Source organism: Homo sapiens, chromosome 5 (genome assembly GCF_000001405.40).
Source record: "Homo sapiens chromosome 5, GRCh38.p14 Primary Assembly".
Taxonomy (NCBI): domain Eukaryota; kingdom Metazoa; phylum Chordata; class Mammalia; order Primates; family Hominidae; genus Homo; species Homo sapiens.
This window is the reverse complement of record NC_000005.10, coordinates 100396738-100416787: the sequence shown is the minus strand read 5'-3', so window position 1 is coordinate 100416787 and position 20050 is coordinate 100396738. Positions and strand designations below refer to the sequence as shown.

The following is a 20050-nucleotide window of genomic DNA, read 5'->3' as shown; positions in this document are numbered from 1 at the left end:
GGTCTCGATCTCCTGACCTCATGATCCACCCGCCTCGGCCTCCCAAAGTGCTGGGATTACAGGCGTGAGCCACCGCGCCCGGCCTCAAAAATTGTATTTTAAACAAAAGCAATAAACATTTTACATCTGTGGCTTGATGATCACATTTGAGAAGTTCACAACCAATATTTCTTCAGTTACCATTCTTTCCTATTACTTCTCTTCTCTCTATTGCAAATTCACTTAGACGAATGACAGACCATTAGCTCTTTTGTTCTTTTCTTTATTTTCCTGGATGTTTCTCTACTATCTTCTACCTTGCTTGTCTTCTGTTTATTATGCTACTTTTAATTTACTCACTACATGTTTAATTTCAGTTAGCTGTGTTTCTCAGACTTAGCATTTCCAAGATTTTCTATTTTTAGGGATTCCGGTTTTCTGGTATGAATCTTCAGTTTTTCCATTTTCTCTGGAATATATTAACACAGTAATTTTAAAATTTGTGTCTAGAATTCTTATACGTTCATCATCTCTGCCTTTGTTTCTTTTGTCTGATTTTTTTTCTTTTTAATTTCTATCATTTCTATTCTACCTTCTGGTATTCCTGGAAATATATTTTACATTTTGAAGAAAGATAAACTTTTCCTGGTCTAAATAGGGATAGAATATTTCAGTCTTTGTGAAGGTTAGCCAATTTCCTATTGGCTTTTTGTTAGGCAGTCCTACGGTACGCCTCTTTTCCTAACACACTTGCTAAGAAACTCCTTTCTGCAATCAAAATGTTGGGTTGAAACAGGAGTCAGCACACTTTTCCTTTGAATGGCCAAATGATTAATATTTTAGGCTTTGTAGGTCAGACAGCACATATATAAATGGCTGTGTCTTTGTTCCAATAAAACTTTATTTACAAAAACAGGTGTTGGGATGAATTTAATTTGGGTATCCTAAATTGCTGATACCTAATTGAGATCCTGAATATGTGTTCCCTCAATTTCTTAGCCTTTTCCCTATGACTGTATGAAATTGCTAATGCCTCAAGGATAAAAACAGCACAGAAAGGCAAGCTCATTTTTCCGCAGTTCCCTCTTCCACAGGATCTTTCTCTTCTAGTATTAACACAGTTTGTAGGCTTGCATTGAAATTTTTTAGCCCCCTAACCCCACGAGACCACCATAAATTCTGAACCACAGTTTCTGCCTGTTTGCTAAGTTTTCTATTGTTATTAATCAACAAATATTTGGAAGGAAAAGTGGCAGAGAATGTCTGGCTCATGTCAATACTTTTCTCTCCATGATCTTGGCCCTATAAAATTCAGGCTTTCTTAACTGCACTCTATCACATTTAATGAGCAGTCTTTGGCATTTCTTACAGTGGTTTTATTTCTTCTTGAAAGGATAAGTTGGTCTAATACAAGTAATCTGTCATAAATAGAAGCAGAAGTACCCAAAGGGAAAATTAAAATGCAATTTGTAGCATCTTGAGTAAGTCAACAAAATATAGAAGTGAAAAACTATAATAACAATGAAATATATAAAAGCAAGCACTGCATAAGAAAATAGATCAAGTCTATCTAGTGTTATGCTATATTTTGAAAACTGCTTAATCTTAATGCAAAAGAAAATATGAATAATAGAATGACATGCTGTGCTTTTGATAGGAAGATTAATACAATAAAATTGTCAGTTCTTTCTGAATTATATTATACATTTAATGTAATTTCCATTGGAATCACATGTGTTATTTCTTTGGTTAGGTAAAAAGATCTCAAATTCCATTTGAAAAATAAATGCCTGAGAATACCCAGGTCACTTATAACAAAGTAGAATAGTTACAGAATAATAGACTTATAGTAAAACAATGCAAAACCACCAGAATTTTAAATTGCCTTTGCTATAAGAATAAAGTAATCCAAGAGTGAAACAAATGGATTCTAGTGCATGCATCGTTAAAAATTTTATGTTTGACAGTGGTGTATTTTAATTTTGTGGAAACATGACTGATTTAACAAATATGTTGACCAAAATACCATTCCAAGTGGGAGAAAATACAGATGATTAAGCCATGCTACTTATACAAACACATTTTACATAAATGTAAATTAAGGGTAAAAACTAAGTATGTTAAAATAAGATGTAAGAGATTAAACAAACATACTATTAGTTGGAAAAAGCTTATAACCATGTCAACAAACCTAGAAACTATGAAAAACATAAAGGTAGACATATTTAACTATATAAAGTTTTATTTTGTATAGATGGCTTCATGCTATGTTGCCTTGGCTGCTCTCAAACTCCTGGGCTCAAGCAATCCTCCAGACTTAGCCTCCCAAAGTGCTAGGTTTACAGGTGTGAGCCACCACAGCCTGACCTAAAGTTTTAAACATATGCTGATTCACAAAATACAGTATAAACAAAGTTAATATACCTATTATTGATTAGAATTAATATTTGCAACTAAGTTAATAACTGTAAGACTGCAAGGCCATACATTCTGAAAACTTAAAGCAAAAAATAGTTTATTGTTATTACATTTCAATAAACAATATGTTCAATATGTTTTTCTCTCAGCAACAACTAATGTTGACAGAACAAAAAAAGACATTACAATATATTGCTAGTGGAAATGTACATTTTACAGTACTTGGAAATCTCTTAGGTGAAATGCATTGAAATGTAAATGTGTATATTTAACGTGTCTTCTGTGAATATATCCTATGGAAATACAAGCCTCAATCATATAGCTACAAGGATGTTAATTGCAACTGGATTGTGGAAAACATAAAATAAGGTAAATATTAATCTATAAGAAAATGATTAAATAAAATATGGAATATTTAACTATGGAAAATATGAAGATATTAAAGAGAATCCTCACTCAGAAGTTTTCTCTTTTTGATCTATTAAGTAAAAACCATAAGATACTGAGCAGAGAGTATGTATAATATGATCACATTTTTAAAAAGCAAATAAATATATTAAAAATATACTTACATCTCTAAATATACTATTTTATATAATTTTCTTAGTGTGGAAAAACAATGGGGGTGAATATATATTAGTTTTTTTGCATGCAGTTGGGACAAGGAGACATGGCCCAGATAGGGGAAATGCTTAATTTACTTAGCCCTTGCAGACAAAGCTCACCAATAAAGTCCAAGTTTTAAGAGATTTTAGAAAGTAAAATTCTAAATAGCTTGAAAGAAGATAGGTGAGAAATCTTCACACACTTGTAGGTACAAGTTTATCTGGACACACAAAAGAAGATCTTCAGTGGTAGCAGAATTAGTCCCTTAACCACACTTCTTTTAAACACTTCTTTACAGCCTTGCTTTTCAAAGTGTGACTTCTGTACTAGCAGCATTGACATCACCTGGGAACGTGTTAGAGAGTCATATGTCTGGCACATCCCAGAATTATTGTTCAGAATCTCCATTTTTACCAAGCTCCCCAAATAATTGGTATGTACATTAACGTCTGAGGAGCAATGCCTTAGTGGATGACAGATGGACTAAAGTGAGAAGAATGTATTTTTCCTATTTAAGTATCTATAAGCATGCATAGAAATGTGTGACAAGTTCTTATTTTTAAAAATTTTTATAATAGACAAAGTTCATTTTAATGAAGACAATACAATGAATAAAGCAAAAATAACTCTTGAGATTTTGGTGAGAAACTCACAAATAATTCATTGTTAGATTACTTATCATTGAAGCTATTGGAGTCTTAGTTATCTCAACTACAGATTGGAATCTTAATGAAGTAAACCTGTTTCATTAGACTGTCCTCATAACAAAAAGTGTATGCAAAATAATTGAAATATTGAAAAGCATTACATAAATATAAATGAATTGTTTTCATTGGGGTTCTTATTAAATGCACAGAAATCTTTTCCTTTTTCTTTCAGTGATTTTTCAAATTGAAATTTCAAAGAAGGTCATGGAAAAATTTTAGTCAATCAGGAAAACTAAAGGCATAAAATTATGTACCTACTTATTGACACATATTTAACGAATTCTTAAAATTTTGCCTTCAATTCTGTTTCTCTGTTTGCCCTCAAATCTAGTTTTTATGATTTGCACTAACCTAAATCTCTGTTTTATAAACATTTTATAATCTAAAAAATGCATGAATACTAAATGAAATATAACATTATAAACTGAGTTATTTCAACAGAAATAATATATCTAAAAGATAAAATAATATGATCTATGATCACAAGAATTTGTAAACTGCAGTTAGAAATTTAAACCTTTCTACCAGTTTTCATCAAGAGATTCCACCTTCAAATCTAGAGAAATATTTAGAAGGTTGCTGAAGACTCAGGTATTTTATTTTTTTAATGAAAAAGAAGAGCATTTTCTTCTTTTTGGGAAGAGAAAGGAAGTACATACAGTGTCTTATAGGAAATATGCAAAAACACTCAAAAATATACTATTTTCATTAAAACAAACTACTTCCAATATCGTATTACTAAAAACATCTACTCACTAAAATACAAGCCCCATGAAAACAAGTGTTCTCAGTTTTGTTTACTGCTAGAACCCTAATCTTAGAACATTGCCTGCCATAAAGCATAGAAATTTATGCTTTGGCAATTAAATATTTTCCAAATATTGACTTTTTCAAATAATTTTAGCACAATGATTTTTCAACTCATATTTCAGAAAGTAGAGATTTACCTCTCCTTGTGTAAGTTCTCATATTTTTAAGCTACATGTAATTAAATCATATTAAAATTGAGACAGTGCAATATTTCCAAGCTATATCTTACAGGAACTAATATCCAGAATGTGCAAGGAACTTAACGAAATAAGAAAACAAACAAAAAATGAATAATCCCATTAAAAAGTGGACTAAGGACATAAATAGACACTTTTCAAAAGAAGACAAAAAATGGACAAGCATATTAAAAAATGCTCATCGCTAATCATCAGATAAATGCAAATTAAAACCATAATGAGATATCATCTCAGTCAGAATGGCTATTATTAAAAGGACAAAAATAACATGTTGGTTAACATGTGGAGAAAAGAGAATGCTTATACTATTTGGGAATGTAAATTTGTGCAACCTTTGTGGAAAATAGTATGGAGATTTCTCAAAGAACTAAAAGGAGAATTATCATTTGACCCAGCAAATACTCAAATGAAAAGAAGTAATTATATCAAAAGATATCTGAACTCGTATGTTTATCATAGCAATATTCACAATAGCAAAGGTATGGAATCAATCTAAGTGTCCATCAATGGCAGATTGGATAAAGAAACTGTCATAAATATATATGTGTTTATATATATGCGTATGTATACACAGGATTACACACACACGCACGCACACACACACACACTGGACACTATTCAGCCATAAAAAGAAGGAAATCATGTCTTTTGCAGCAACATGAATGGAACTGGAGGCCATTATCTTAAGTGAAACAACTCAGAAACAGAAAGACAATACCATATTATCTCATTTATAAGTGGGAGATAAATAATGTGAACAGAGGCCTGGCATGTTGGCTCACTCCTGTAAGCCCAGCACTTTGGGAGGCCAAGGCGGGTGGATCACGAGGTCAAGAGATTAAGACCATTCTGGCCAAAATGGTGAAACTACATCTCTACTAAAATTACAAAAAATTAGCCAGACGTGGTGGCGGGCGCCTGTAGTCCCAGCTATTTGGGAGGCTGAGGCAGGAGAATCACTTGAACCCAGGAGGCAGAGGTGGCAGTGAGCCGAGATTGCGCCACTGCACTCCAGCCTGGCGACAGAGTAAGACCCCATCTCTAAATAAATAAATAAACAAATAAATAAATAACGTGAACATAGATTGTGGAATGAGAGGCAGCAGATGCTGGGAAGTGGGGAAGGGTTGAGGAACGGGTAGGGGGTGGATGACAGAGAATTTCTTAAAGAGTACAAAGTAAGTTATGTGGGTGATATAGACACTAAAAGCCCTGACTTCCCCACTATGCAATATATTCATATAATGTAGCAAAATTACACTTATACCCCTTAAATGAATACAAATAAAAATCAAAAATAAATTTAAAAATTTGAGAGTGCACTTCTTAAAAATATGCACCAATAGTTTCTGTAAGTTAAGAATATTTTGTGAAGGCCAGGCGTGGTGGCTCACACCTGTAATTCCACCACTTTGGGAGGCTGAAACGGGCAGATCACGAGGTCAGGAGTTTGAGACCAGCCTGGCCAATATGGTGAAACCCTGTCTCTATTAAAATTACAAAAATTAGCTGCGGGTGGTGGTGTGTGCCTGTAATCCCAGCTACACAGGAGGCTGAGGCAGGAGAATCACTTGAACCCGGGTGGCGGAGGTTACAGTGAGCCGAGAACGTGCCACTGCACTCCAGCCTGGGTGACAGAGCGAGACTCCATCTCAAAAAAAAAAAAATTGTGAAGCAAATAATTCAATTTGCTTTTGCATTTTTACTGAACATTTGGATTTTATTTTAGTCTCTAAAATTTATCTTTTCATTTTTTTTTTTTTCCTCTCTGAAGACCAGTGTTTCTTCCATGGTTAACTGAGCAGAAATTTTAAAACTTTATCAGAAAGCAACTACTAAATGAAGGCTTTTCGGGGAAACTGGGCTGTGTTTCTTCTTTGGGGTCAGCCAGGATTAGTTAGCACTAAGGAGATGAGACAATATTTTTGTTGTTCACACACCCCTTTTGTCATGAGCAGTAAAACTTCACATTGGCTACAATAGCAATTGGCCTGACATTTTCAGCCCCGATATTCTCAGCTGTGTGGTACAGCCCCCTGCAAAATGATGGTAAAGCAGTTATTGTTGTTTCTTGCCAGGATTAGAATTGTGAAGTGTAACCAGGAAGTATTTTTCCCCATTTATATGCATATTGATAATTAGGCTCAAGGAAATGAAGTGCATAGAATGGGAATTGAGATTTTGTTTTTTAATGTGAACTTGTTTGATATCAGCGTCCACTGTTCTCTGACAGATGGATTCTTTTTGGCAGATGATTATGCAAACTGTTCCTTTCGTGCCTGTCTGTATGAAATGTATTCTATAAACACATTGAAGCATCATGCTCCTTTGAGTCCTCAGTGCTTGGGAATGTATTAGCACCAGGATGATTTGGATGACAGGATTCAAAAGCATCTGAGAGTGGAAACTGGGGGAATACTAGTGTGATGGCTTTCGTTCTCTCAAGGGCCCTGGGAGATAATAATGTGTGGTTCCCCTGAAATTTGACATAGGACATTTTTATGTCAATGAAAAAGAAAAAAAAAAACCTCATAGATAACAGGAAATTTCAAACAAGCAAACTCTAAATAAGTTTTAATAAGTGTTTTAACAGATACTGGAAAACTGAACCATTTGGAAAATAGTACTTAGGAAATTTTAAATTCATGAGAAGCATGTAAGGAATAATTCTCTTTCAAGATCTAATTGTCAGGGTCAATTTTCCTCATGATTTAACAGTTTTATAATGATTGCTCTAATATGTTGATAACAAAGACTTTGCCTTTTATATTTCTACAATCAAGGGTATAACAGCTGACTCAGTTGTACTTTTACAATGCAAATTTTAATGGGAATTTTCTTGAGGAACTATCCCCCCTGGCAAAAATAAATAAATAAAAAGATCTGTATTTTAGGAGAGAAAACTAGATTGCTTCAACTGAGCCACAGGTAATGTTAGTTAAGCACATTTAGCCATTCTCTTGGGCAGTATAAATGTGCTACATTATACACTTATTAGGAAAATATAATGCTACCTTACACATCTGTCCAGTCAGCCACTTACCTAAAATTCTGAAAGCTAGTCTCCCTGAGGGGATTCCTGGAGCCTTAAGACTTCCTTCTTATTCATTGATATTGTTGGGAACTTTGTAGAATACAAAGGGGAAGGAGATGACAATTAAAGACTTTCTGAAATCCATTCAGTAAGGTTTTGGTAAAGGCACATAGGGTACTAGCAGAACTAAAAACAAAGGAGTATGTCTTCTAGATCCCACAGGCATGACATTTTCTCTCTAAAAGTTAGATTTAAAAAAAAACTATGATCTTTTATTTTCCAATAACTAAATCCACACATTGCAAAAGGATAACACACAGTTATAGGTGCTTCTGCACAAATGTGGTGACAGCAAGAGTGCTCTGAATTAGGTAAAAAGAAGTGGAGTAAAGCATTTGTGTTTTTGAGAATGTGCGTGCATGTGTGTGTATGTGCACATGTGTGTATAAAACTATCATCTAACTCAAAATATGTGAGATCAGAGAGGCAGGCCCGGCATGGTCACTCATGCCTGTTATCCTAGCATTTTGGGAGGCTGAAGCAAGAGGATCATTTGAGCTCAGGAGTTCAAGACCAGCCTGGGCAACATAGTGAGACCTTATCTCTACATAAAAACAAAGCAAAACAAACAAAAAACAATTATCCAGGCATGGTGGCACACATCTGTAGTTTGTAAGTACTTGGTAGGCTGAGTTGGGAGAGTCTCTTGAGCCTGGGATGCCAAGGTTGCAGTCAGCCATGATGGTGCCACTGCAATCCATGAAAAATACTCTAACTGCAGCCACAGATTGGATTTTTTTTGGTTGTGTGATTGAACAGCAGATTTTGATGTTGATTTTTCTAATTTATCGTAACACATTTATCCAGGTCAAATCAAATTACATTGGTTTGTGATCAACCAGCCAACATTACAACTATCTGGATATTTGGGTTGTAGGTGTAAGATATCATTATCATTGGTCAGTTACGAAGATTTGAGTCATTTATAATCCAGTTTCTTAATTGATAACTCAATATTTGAGAAATAATGAGAAAGGATTTGGTAATACAGAAGATGGACCGATAAGCTTCTAATATTCTCTGTCTCTATTACCACATAATCAGATCCTCTTTTATAGTAAAGTTAGTAGAACAGAATTAGTAATTTATTTATTCAATAAATATACAATAAGTGCATGTATATTGAGGTATTACTTTAAGTGAAAGTGATATAGCAAATAACAAGTCAAACAAATTCCTTTAATTTATGGAACTTGTGTTCTAATTATGGCAGGAGTAGGTATTTACAGATAAACACTTAACAAAACAAATACAAAAAAGATAATGTGATTGACTTGAGAGTATAAAGATACCTAAGACTGAGTATACGTTCTTATGATATTTCATTTAAGTGAGTACTAAGTACTGAACGAAACTAGCTCTGAAAAGATTTGTGTGACGATAATTCCACGTAGAGCAGAAACATTCTACTGTGAAAATACTCTAGGATTTGAATTATCTATTTCTGGTTAATAATGCCAAAACATATTGGCTTGAAATAGAAATTTTATATTGCTCCTGACTTTGTGGATGAAGAATCTAGGATGGACTCTATGGTGTGCAAGTCTTTGCTGTATGTGCTATCAGTTGTGGTGACTCAACCATGGCTGGAGCAGCTACTCACATAACGGATGAACTGGTACTGGTTGAGAGCTTGGATCTTAGCTGCAGCTGTTGGCTTGGGACCTCAATTCTTCCTCATGTGGGCTTACTTCAGCTCCCTCACAGTATGGTGGCTGGCACCTAAGAGTGAGTATTTCAAGAGAGAGGAATTGAAAGTTTTCAGTCTCGTAATCTGTCACTTATACTATACGCAAGTAGCTATAGAGTCCACAGATTCAAGGAAAGTGGGTATGGACTCCAACTTTCAGTGAGAGAAATGTAAGGAATATATGATCATTTTTGACCTGTCACAGTAAACCTCTGGCCAAAAACTCTTTACAATATTCTCACATGAAAAATACACTCACCCCATTTCAAGACCCCAGAAATTTCAGTTCAATATAGAATTAGTTTCAAGATCAGGATTCATAATGTAAATCAGGTTTAGGTGTTGAGGAGGCTCCTCTCATGGAAAACAAAGTCGATGTTGGCTGCTCAGCCAGGCTAGTCCTCTCCATGAGGCAGCTTTGGCTTTCTAACAGCATGATGGCTGATTTCCAAGAGTGAGTGTTCCAATAAACATGAAGTGGAAGCTGCCAGTCTCTAAAGGTCTGGAGGCAGAAACAGATGCATACACACGCACACACACACACACAGACACACACACACACAAAAGAAAGAAACCCTCCAATACATTTCATTAGAGCTGTCACAGAGCCCACCCACTTGATGGGAAGAGTATCAATGAATTTGTGATTTTCTTTAATTCTCACATCTGGTATATCCAAAGACCAGAAAGATGAATGCTTAGACAGTATCCCTTACTGCCCTTTGTATACTTCTAATTTAAAATCAAATTCTTTAAAGAAATCAGAAATGTAGATAATGCTCTAAATGGTATCTTTGAGTACAAGATATCTATAGAAGTTATAAAATTACTTAACTATGATAAGTCCATTTGGAGTATCAGTCAAGTCAATGGGCACAGAAGTCTTACTTTTAGAGTGCAACGAGAGAAGAATTACAGTGGCCCAAAGTAGTCAGGAGCAGGAGGAGCAAGAGAGTGATTAAGAGCTCAGTACTGAACTGCAGCTGAAGTTAGAGGCATCCAATGTAAAAGTCCATTGGTGGAGGATGACAAGAGGACCACAAATTGAGCAAAACAATACAATTTGGAGGTTAAGTTCAACTGAAACACAACAGGAAGTGAGAACAAGGGGAACAGGAAAGTAAGGGAATTTAAATTTATTGTCATAAGCAGGACTTAGTATTAGCTCCCTAATACTGCCTCCTAGTGCTACTATGAATGGTGAGTTAGGTTTAAAAGTACATAGGTAGGAAAAATAAATAAATTAATGATTTTCTTCCTCTGGAAATAAAAAAATAGATAATTACATATTGCTTAGAGTGAGATATTAAATGGCATATGGAAAATATGGATTACCAAGCTCTAAAATATTTACAAGTTTTTTCTGGGATCCAATGGAGACCTGATTTGGTATTTTGGAGGATACTCTTAAGTTTATGGGATTTTTCTGATGATTCCTTTTTTAATGCTTAAGTTAACACTGGAAGAAATCCCACAAGCACCAATCACAGTAAACAGAACAATCTATTTTTGAAAGTAGGCATGGTCAAGATGATTTTAATTGGTTATTGTTTTTTTTTTTTCTGCAAGTGAACAAAGAATCAACTTGGCTCTAACTCCTAGTCCTACTTCAAGACAACTTGTTTTTCTTTCCTTTAGAAACTTTCCTTTATGTTTCTCCATTTCTTCTAAGGTGAGTTAGAGCATCTTCAATGTTCCTTTAGTCACATTACATCTAATATTATGACTTTTGAATTGTGCTTAAGAATTCTACTTAATTGTTTTCTCCCATTATTGTGAAAATGAGAACACAGTAACTGTTTCTAACTGCCATAGATCTGTTCTGTTTAATGTGGTAGCCATTAGATACACAAAGATGTTACTTAAATTTAAATGCAGAGTATTATTTAAACTTACATTAAATTAAAATTAATTTCCTCAGTTGCACCAGCCACATCTCTGGTGCACAATAGCCATGTGTGGCTAGTGGCTGCCACTTTGGAAGGCATAGATATAAAGCGCAGCCATCATTGCAACAAATCTATTGGACTGTGCTGCATAAAATTTTTCATAATTTTTATAGAATGAAAGAAAAACATCTATGAGTCAACATTGTTACAAGAATTTGACTTCATGTAGGAAATTGTGGAAATATGCATAAACATATACATATATATACACACACACACGCATACTGAATTTCAGTTTTCTTGGCATGGTACTGTACTTAAATATAAATAAAATTTGAAATATAAACATATTCAACATAAATTAATTCATGAAATATAAATTAGAACCTGGGCATGTTAAATAAAAGCATTCCATTTCACAGAAATGATTAATGACCACAGGTTGTTTGGACAGTCTAGCTTGGTTATTCACTAAGATTAGCTGTTGTACTCTTTAGTTGTTCATATCGAGGATCCATACTGGAGGAAATGGAATGACTAAGAGAGTGAATCTATATAAATCTGTACCATGCCAAACATGGTGTGAATTTCTGTCACACTAAAAGGTGCCTTAACCCTTACTTAAATCTATTTTTTAAAACAGCTTAAGCTATAGAATCCCTTAAAGAGGCAATCTGAGAGACAATGATGTAATGAAAACTGGTCAGAGTTACAAAAGTGCTTTTCACACACAAGTTATATGAAACAGAGAGCTAGAAATCAGCCAGTAAAGGGAAATAATTTTCTGATGGTCTTATTTTTAGCTCTTTGGAAAATTACAGAGATGATCTGATAATTTGATTTTTTATTCCTTAACTCACATAAATAAGACAGGAATGACAAAACAGTTGAAAGAATGTGCTCTTTGGTCCTTAGTGGAATGTGTGCTCCTGCTACTGATCAGAGACTCTCCAGATTTATGCATTTTGCTTCCTTAGCTGGAAATAATCGCAGACCTTCAATTCTACATGAAGAGGGGACAGGAAACCCCTATACTTTGGAAAATATGAGACAATGAAAATTAAATATTGACTGAAGAGGAAAATTTCTAATTGGATGGGAAAAGTTAATACATCGTGGAATAGAAAATGAGACCATACCTCAAAACAGTCTCAGATACATGAACATTTACTAGTTGTATTTTTCCATATAGATACAAAACAGTCTCAGATACATGAACATTTACTAGTTGTATTTTTCCATATAGATCGCCATGTATGGCAGGATGAATTTTTCATTTTCCCCATATGGATGTTCCTACATTGAATGTTTTCTAATCTCTGCTATTCTTTTATAAATATTCTGAAGACATCATACTTCTTATTAAATAAATACAAACAACTCTCTCCATTGCAATAATTATGCAAACAGAGATTATTGCTTTTGCTTGCACCTGATGGAAATCTGTATATTCAAATATTTATTTTACTTCATATATTCTCCATGCTTATTGCCTTTTTTTAGATTTTTATTGACATAGCTGTACACATTTTGGGGGGATATGTGATATTTTGATACCTATATACAATGTGTAATGATAAAATCAAGGTAAGTAGGATATCAGTCACCTCAAATATCGATCTTTTCTTTCTATTGGGACCATTATAATTATTTTCTTCCAGCTATTTAAAAATATACAATAAGTTATTACTAACCGTAATTTCCCTTTATTCCATCTATACAATTTTATTTGTATGCCTTTAACCAATTTCTCTGTAACCCTTTTGTTTTTTAATTCTACATCCCATGACCTGTCTCCTTTCCCAATGTTCTTTTCTATCTATTCTTATAAACACTAGGCCTTCCCTTCTGAACTACAGTGTGGTCTTTGTTGAAGTCTTTAAATTTCTTTCTAAGATAATCTGATGGGAGTTTTGGGGTGATGGAATAATGGCTCCCAGTATAAAAGAAATCCATGTGTTATAGCTTATCCTAACATAAAATAGAAGGTCTATACTTTGGGAACAACAATATTCATAATGAAAGTAGACACAAGCTTTTTTTATGCTTTGTAGTGTGATTATTATATGTTAAAACTTTATCTTGTTAAAAATTTTAATCTGCCAAAGTATTATTACAATCTTTAGTTTGGTCATGACTTTTGGTCAATTTTGTATCATTATTTGTAAAATACTCCATTATATTTGTCCAGAGTTTTGGAATTTGACCCACTTTTGTTCCTGCCCACTTACTGCTATATAGACAGAATCAGAATCTGCATATGTAATTGATATCATCGTAAATTTTAATTGGTCTTGGCCATCAAATCTGATTTTGGACACGGATGGAATGACTCCAGTATAAAACCTTCTTGGCTGTAATAGTAATTTTTCTTTGCATGCTGGCTTCATCAAAAAATTTTTAATGTCATTTTCTATTATAGCAGTTTTGGAAGCATAGGTAACTGGACATTTCAGAAATGTCAGTGACTTATCTTTCAGAAATACAGGAGATCTTATTATGGGAGAAGGATCCTGTGAAATTGTCGATATTTGAAGACAGCAGAGGAGCTCTTTGACTCTATTTTCTGCTTTTTTGTTTTGTTTTGTTTTTTTTGTTTTTTTTGAGACGGAGTCTTGCTCTGTCACCCAGGCTGGAGTGCACTGGAGTGCCATCTTGGCTCACTGCAAGCTCCGCCTCCCGGGTTCACGCCATTCTCCTGCCTCAGCCTCCGCAGCAGCTGGGACTACAGGCACACACCGCCACGCCCGGCTAATTTTTTTTTTGTATTTTTAGTAGAGATGGGGTTTCACCGTGTTAGCCAGGATGGTCTCCCATCTCCTGACCTCGTGATCCGCCCGCCTCAGCCTCCCAAAGTGCTGGGATTACAGTCGTGAGCCACCACGCCCGGCCTTTGACTCTATTTTCAAACAGCTGTTCCAATGATATTTCCGTAGTGCAAGTACAATATGAGCATATCACCACTACTCTACTTTAATATTTCCATGTCCTCGCACCCCTGGCATAAATTTCACATTCCACAGCGTGGTTTACAAGTTTTGAATATGTTCCCTAATATTTTTCCAACCTTATCTCCATCCATTTCCTGCCTCTCATATGCTGCTCCTAATAAGCAGTCTGTCTTTGTATCATAAGCAGGCTGCTGTCCTAATCATCACATTCTCATTCTTAGGCCTTCACATGTACACTTTCACCACTGCCTTGATATCTTACGATATCCCTTCTACATCCCAGACAGTTACTTAGCTTCTGTTCTTTCGTTTGACTCTCAATATCTGCTCAGCCCTTTTTTTTTTTCCTGTGAAGTTTTTGACTATTCTTTGCTCTATACACAGCCAAATAACTAGAATCCCTCCTTCGTGAACTTGGAATGGATAGAGAAAGGAGGAAAATTTTGAATTTTTTCATGAAGATAGAAAATAAAAATCTATTAATTATTGCATCTGGATAATGTGTGATTCCCACTAAGTATTTTGATCATGGGATATCTATGGGGGCCTCTTTTTAAAATCTCTACAAATGCCTTGTTTCCCTCTAGGGAAACAGTCATCACATTATATATTTTTTGTAGATATAGAGACACATTTTGCATGTCCCTTCAAAGAATAACTTACTGTCAAGCTTCAGGGAATGTGTGAGTATGCAGCCTTTATTTGTGAGCTTCTTCAGGATCTGCCTTAGCTGTAGAAATTCACTTTGCCTGAGGTCATAACTTTTCCCTGGGCAGTTTGTCTGTTGACTCTCTGTGGTAGGGCTTAGAAGCCTAGCTATTTACTTAAAAAAAAAAACAAAACAAACAAATAAGGAAAAATTGCACTAAAGGAAAAGAGATAACCGGATTAGAAGATTAAGGACAAAAAGGTCTGGAGTTAGAGGCATATATCAATGGATATATGGGAGCAGCTGCAATGTGAGAAGATCTTTGTGTTCCATATTAGTGTCCACCAGAAAGCATATACTACAGAAGAGGATTTGCACAGCCAAGTAGATAAAATAGACCCATCAGATGACATCAGCTTGTGTGTGTCATAGAGTCTTCTAGTACCAACACAATGAACATATGCATGATGTTGACAGAGTGGTTGTTATGCAGGCTGCACATAAACATAAACCAAATAACACATACTCCATTAAGTTTGATTTACAAGGAGCCACCATCAGATACCAGTGCTGATCTTAGGAAGTTTGAGGGAGCTGGGGCTGAGAGTAATCCTTATATGTGTGTTGGGGAGTCTCTCCTCTATGTGATGGATGCTATAGTTTTGTTGTTGTAAACTGTGCAACAGAGTGAGACAGAGTCTCACTCTGTTGCCCAGGCTGGGGTGCAGTGGCGCCATGTCTGCTCACTGCAAGCTCTGCCTCCTGGGTTCACGCCATTCTCCTGCCTCAGCCACCCGAGGAGCTGGGATTACAGGTGCCCGCCACCACACCTGGCTAATTTTTTGTATTTTTAGTAGAGACGGGGTTTCACGGTGTTAGCCAGGATGGTCTTGATCTTCTGACCTCATGATCTGCCCGCCTCAGCCTCCCAAAGTGCTGGGATTACAGGCGTGAGCCACTGCTCCCGGCCCGTATGCTGTAGTTTTAGGAAAGATAGTAGGTTTTTGACTATATGTCTTTGTTTTATTAACCCTATATTATCTCTTCCACATTGTTTTTTGTGCCTGCTGCCTAATTTTTGTGACAACTGCTTCCATAAGGGCATCCTTGCTGCTTTGAGAACGAACCGCCCATGGACTTCATGGTTTCTGGGTAGTTTCATATGAGGCTGTTGCACTCTTTCTGGGAGGTGCTTTCCTAATCATTCTGATCTTTTCCTACTAGAAATTTCTGGATAATTTCCAGTTTTCAGTAGTACTTTCATTTATCCTGATTTTATATTTTTCTAGGTTATTTCTTTTGGCATTTGGAGTAGGGAAGTCTGATGAAGTCCTCAGCTCTTTTTCCTTAGACGCCTTCTATATTTCCTATTTCCAAATTCTTAAGGATTCCTTATTTCTATTCTTTTTTTGCACCCTCTGCAGAATCAACCTTATATTGACAAAATATATTTTTACATTTTTGGGTGACATTTACAAGTCCTTAATTAATTAATTAATTTTTTGAGATGGAGTCTCGTTCATTCACCCAGGCTGTAGTGCGGTGGTGTAATCTTGGCTCACTGCAAGCTCCGCCTCCCAGATTCATGCCATTCTCCTGGCTCAGCCTCCTGAGTAGCTGGGACTACAGGCACCTGCCATGATGCCTGGCTAATTTTTTGTATTTTCAGTAGAGACGGGGTTTCACCGTGTTAGCCAGAATGGTCTCGATCGCCTGACCTCGTGATCCGCCCGCCTCGGCCTCCCAAAGTGTTAGGATTACAGGCGTGAGCCACCGCGCCCGGCCCAAGTCCTTAATTTGTAAGTCTTGAGTATTTTGGTTAGCAATAATTAAGACATGTACTAAACACATACTAACTTGTAGTGTATTTGAAATAACATTGCACTTGGCTACCAAGATTTTATACCCCTCAAATAATCTTAGCATTGGAAATAAAGTAGTAATAATAATAATTACTTGTTTCAGTTACTGTACTAGGTGTCTTTATGTATATTATTTTTAATCCTCACCCAATTTTATAAAAAGTATTATTTCTCATGTTTTTTTCAGTGGAGGAAACCAGGACTCAGCAAAGTTATATTAACTAGTACATGAACTCCGTGGGTTCAGGAGCATCTCTGTATAGTGCTGCCATCTAGTCTTGTCTCCTCATTTTCCATGAAATAAGGAGACTGAGGCCGGGCGTGGTGGCTCATGCCTGTAATCCCAGCACTTTGGGAGGCGAAGGTGGGCAGAACACGAGGTCAGGAGTTTGAGACCAGCCTGACCAACATGGCAAAACTCCGTCTCTACTAAAAATACAAAAATTAGCCCAGCGTGGTGGCGCGCGCCTGTAATCCCAGCTACTTAGGAGGCTGAAGCAGGAGAATTGCTTGAACCCAGGAGGTGGTGGTTGCAATGAGCTGAGATCGTGCCACTGCACTCCAGCCTGGGTGACAGAGCGAGACTCTGTATCGAAAAAAAAAAAAAGAGACTGAGTCTAGTGAAGCCAGTGGACTTGCTCATCATCACGCAGCTAGTTAGCAGCAGAATGAGGACTTGGATCCCTGAACTCCTGACTCACATTCCGGTGCACTTTTCACTACAGCAGGACACCTTGGCTCCTGAGCCCCAAGTGACAGCCCCAAACAGCTGTGTTTATCTGTCTTGCATGTCCCAGCTTGTTTTGCTAGCTGAGCAAAAACTACTTAAAAGGATCCTCAATCTTCACCTTCCCACTCCCTTCCACTTCTACTCATATACTCCCACTTGCCCCATGAATGACTTCACAGAAACAATTGTGCAATGTCACTAAGCCTTCCTCTGGTGTCAGAGTTACTCCCTGAGAGAGCATTCACTTCCTCATGACTCCGGTTTACTGGTTAGATTGGCTTTCCCTCTCTTCTCTTTGATCGGAATCTTCGTTGTTTAGGCAGGAATTTGAGGAGCAGATGTTATGCCTCTTGAACAGGCCCTTTAATTCTCCTTAATACTGTGTCTAATGACTCTTAATCCTGTCCTTTTAACTCTGTGGCTAGCAGATTTCGGAGTGAAGTGAGACAGGAATGATGAGCTTGATGCTGAACATTTCATTTTAATGTTGGCAAAGTAGTCTACAGAGAGTACATGACAAACAGTGAGACAGAGGGAACATGTTAAAAGTGTTCCTATATAGCAGAAAAACAATGTGAACATTAGTGTGGGATCACTGAAATTTTGGGTTTCCCGTCAAATGTAGATAGAACAGTTTGGTTGATTAGTTTGCCAGAGAAATGGAGCCATTGACTGTTTCTACTTTGTCTTCTTAAACTTTTATATTTTTCAGATTTTCATTTCCCTTTTAAAATAAAAATAAATCATCAGAAGAAACAAAGTGATCTCTTATTTTTCATGGTTACTGGAGAAAATTATACTTCCCCCAAATGGGAGTAGCATTAACAAGCATATATCCTGTGAACTGATTCCTTCCATTCTTTAGAGACTTTGGTTTAGCGCTCTGAACTTTCTGATTATCAGATCTTATGTGTTTGCTAATATATAAAATAACAAATTAGACATAATGCCCTATAATTTTCTCAATTTGATTAATTGCCTGAAATTTGATCTATCAGTCAGTGTTTGATTAGAATAGAGAAATCACATGTAATTTGAACAAGGAAAGATTAATACGAAGAACTGCTAGCTATAACAGGGTTTTGGAGCAATGAGGATTGGCTAGTAAAAAGTAAAGAGAACTCTAAGGAATATAAGAATAACAGATAAAAGGAGCATCAACCCCTGGGGTTAAGATAGAACATCCAGGGCCTCTGGGATTAAGATCCAGACCCTGTTTGAGGGGGCATGGCTGTGGCTCACTGAATGAAGAGAAGTTGCTGTGGTAGAAATCTGTCTCATCCGAATCACTCTGCTATAATACTGCCTTGTGGAGGTACTGGTGGAAGATACTGGGTGCTGCTGACTGCTGTGCACTTCAGGAGCCTGACAATGGAGCAAACTGCACGGGTTCTGGATCTGGACACTGGAGAAGCTGTGTTGCAGTACAGAAGCCTGCCAAGAGGAGCACACAAGACTCTTGGAAAGAAGAGGAAAATCTCCTCTTACAATGTCGATCTAACATCATGCCAACTAGCAAAGGAAAAATGTTTAAAGGGTCCAAGTTCATTTCTGCAGAGCAGACAGGAAAGGATGAATTCAGAGCTGAGAGAAAATAAGTGGACAACTGGCACATTTGGTCAAACTTGTAATTTTATATCTTAGATGGACAAATTTAAACCCAAGTCCATAGGTGTTTTCCTTACAAGCTTACATTTAAATTTGCGATCCTGGTCAGAATTTTGCTAAGGACTTCATTCTTTCCCAGTGTTTCAGGAAGGCTACCATGGGGCCAGAGCCACTTTTCTTTATTGTAAGGTCCTGGGCTGTGGCCCCTTTTGCTTTTCTGGGCTCCTTTCTCATGGGCATCTGTTTTGGGAGCTTCATTTCCTCATCTGCTTTGACACTTTAATCTTGGACGTTGTAGTGAAATGCTTCACATTGTCACACATTCTAATCTCAGAGACCACTCCAAATCTTTTTGAATTTTCTTGGCCATTGGAATTAGTACTCTGGAATCAGTACATTAAGAATGGTTTTTTAAAAACTATGAGCTAGAATTTCAACATTTTAGAAGAAATGGTCAGTATAAATTTGGAGAAGCAGTTTCTAGCTAGTAGTAGCTGTGCAGAAAAACAGTTTTATTGATAAGTATCTGATTTGGATTTAGGAACCAGCTAGGATGAAAAATTCAATTGAGGTCTGGCCAGTTAGACATAAATTTTATTTTTCCTTTATATTCTGTGTCCAAAAGACAAATTGTCATGAGTTATTTTTTTTTTTTTTCTGAAGTATCCGTTTGTTTCTCAGCTTTGGAATTAGAGGTGTAGAAAATAAACGGGACTCAACAGCCTAAGATTTTGTTTAAAAAGATGTTCTTATTTATTTATGTTAAAAAAATTTCTAAACTTTTTTTTTTTGCAAGAAACTGTATGTCAGCATTTTCACTTTTGATAGATAAATTTTATATTTGGGATTTTGATTATGAA

At 36.1% G+C, this 20050-nt stretch overlaps 1 long non-coding RNA gene across 12 annotated transcripts in view; it reads right to left on the bottom strand.

Annotated features, from left to right (window-relative positions):
* Positions 1-18291, bottom strand: part of LOC105379100 (uncharacterized) — a 45227-nt gene extending 26936 nt beyond the window's left edge. For 2 of the 12 annotated variants that reach the window (XR_007058888.1, XR_948625.3), the window contains exons 1-3: positions 15005-15391; positions 9415-9533; positions 7761-7841 (exon numbers count right to left, since the gene is read on the bottom strand). This is a non-coding gene — a long non-coding RNA (uncharacterized LOC105379100). Of the gene's footprint in view, positions 1-7760; positions 7842-9414; positions 9534-15004; positions 15405-17553 lie in introns of those variants that run through there. The other 10 variants (XR_007058885.1, XR_948622.3, XR_007058884.1 and 7 more) reach the window with 9 other exon arrangements.
* Positions 18292-20050: the final 1759 nt, after the last annotated feature.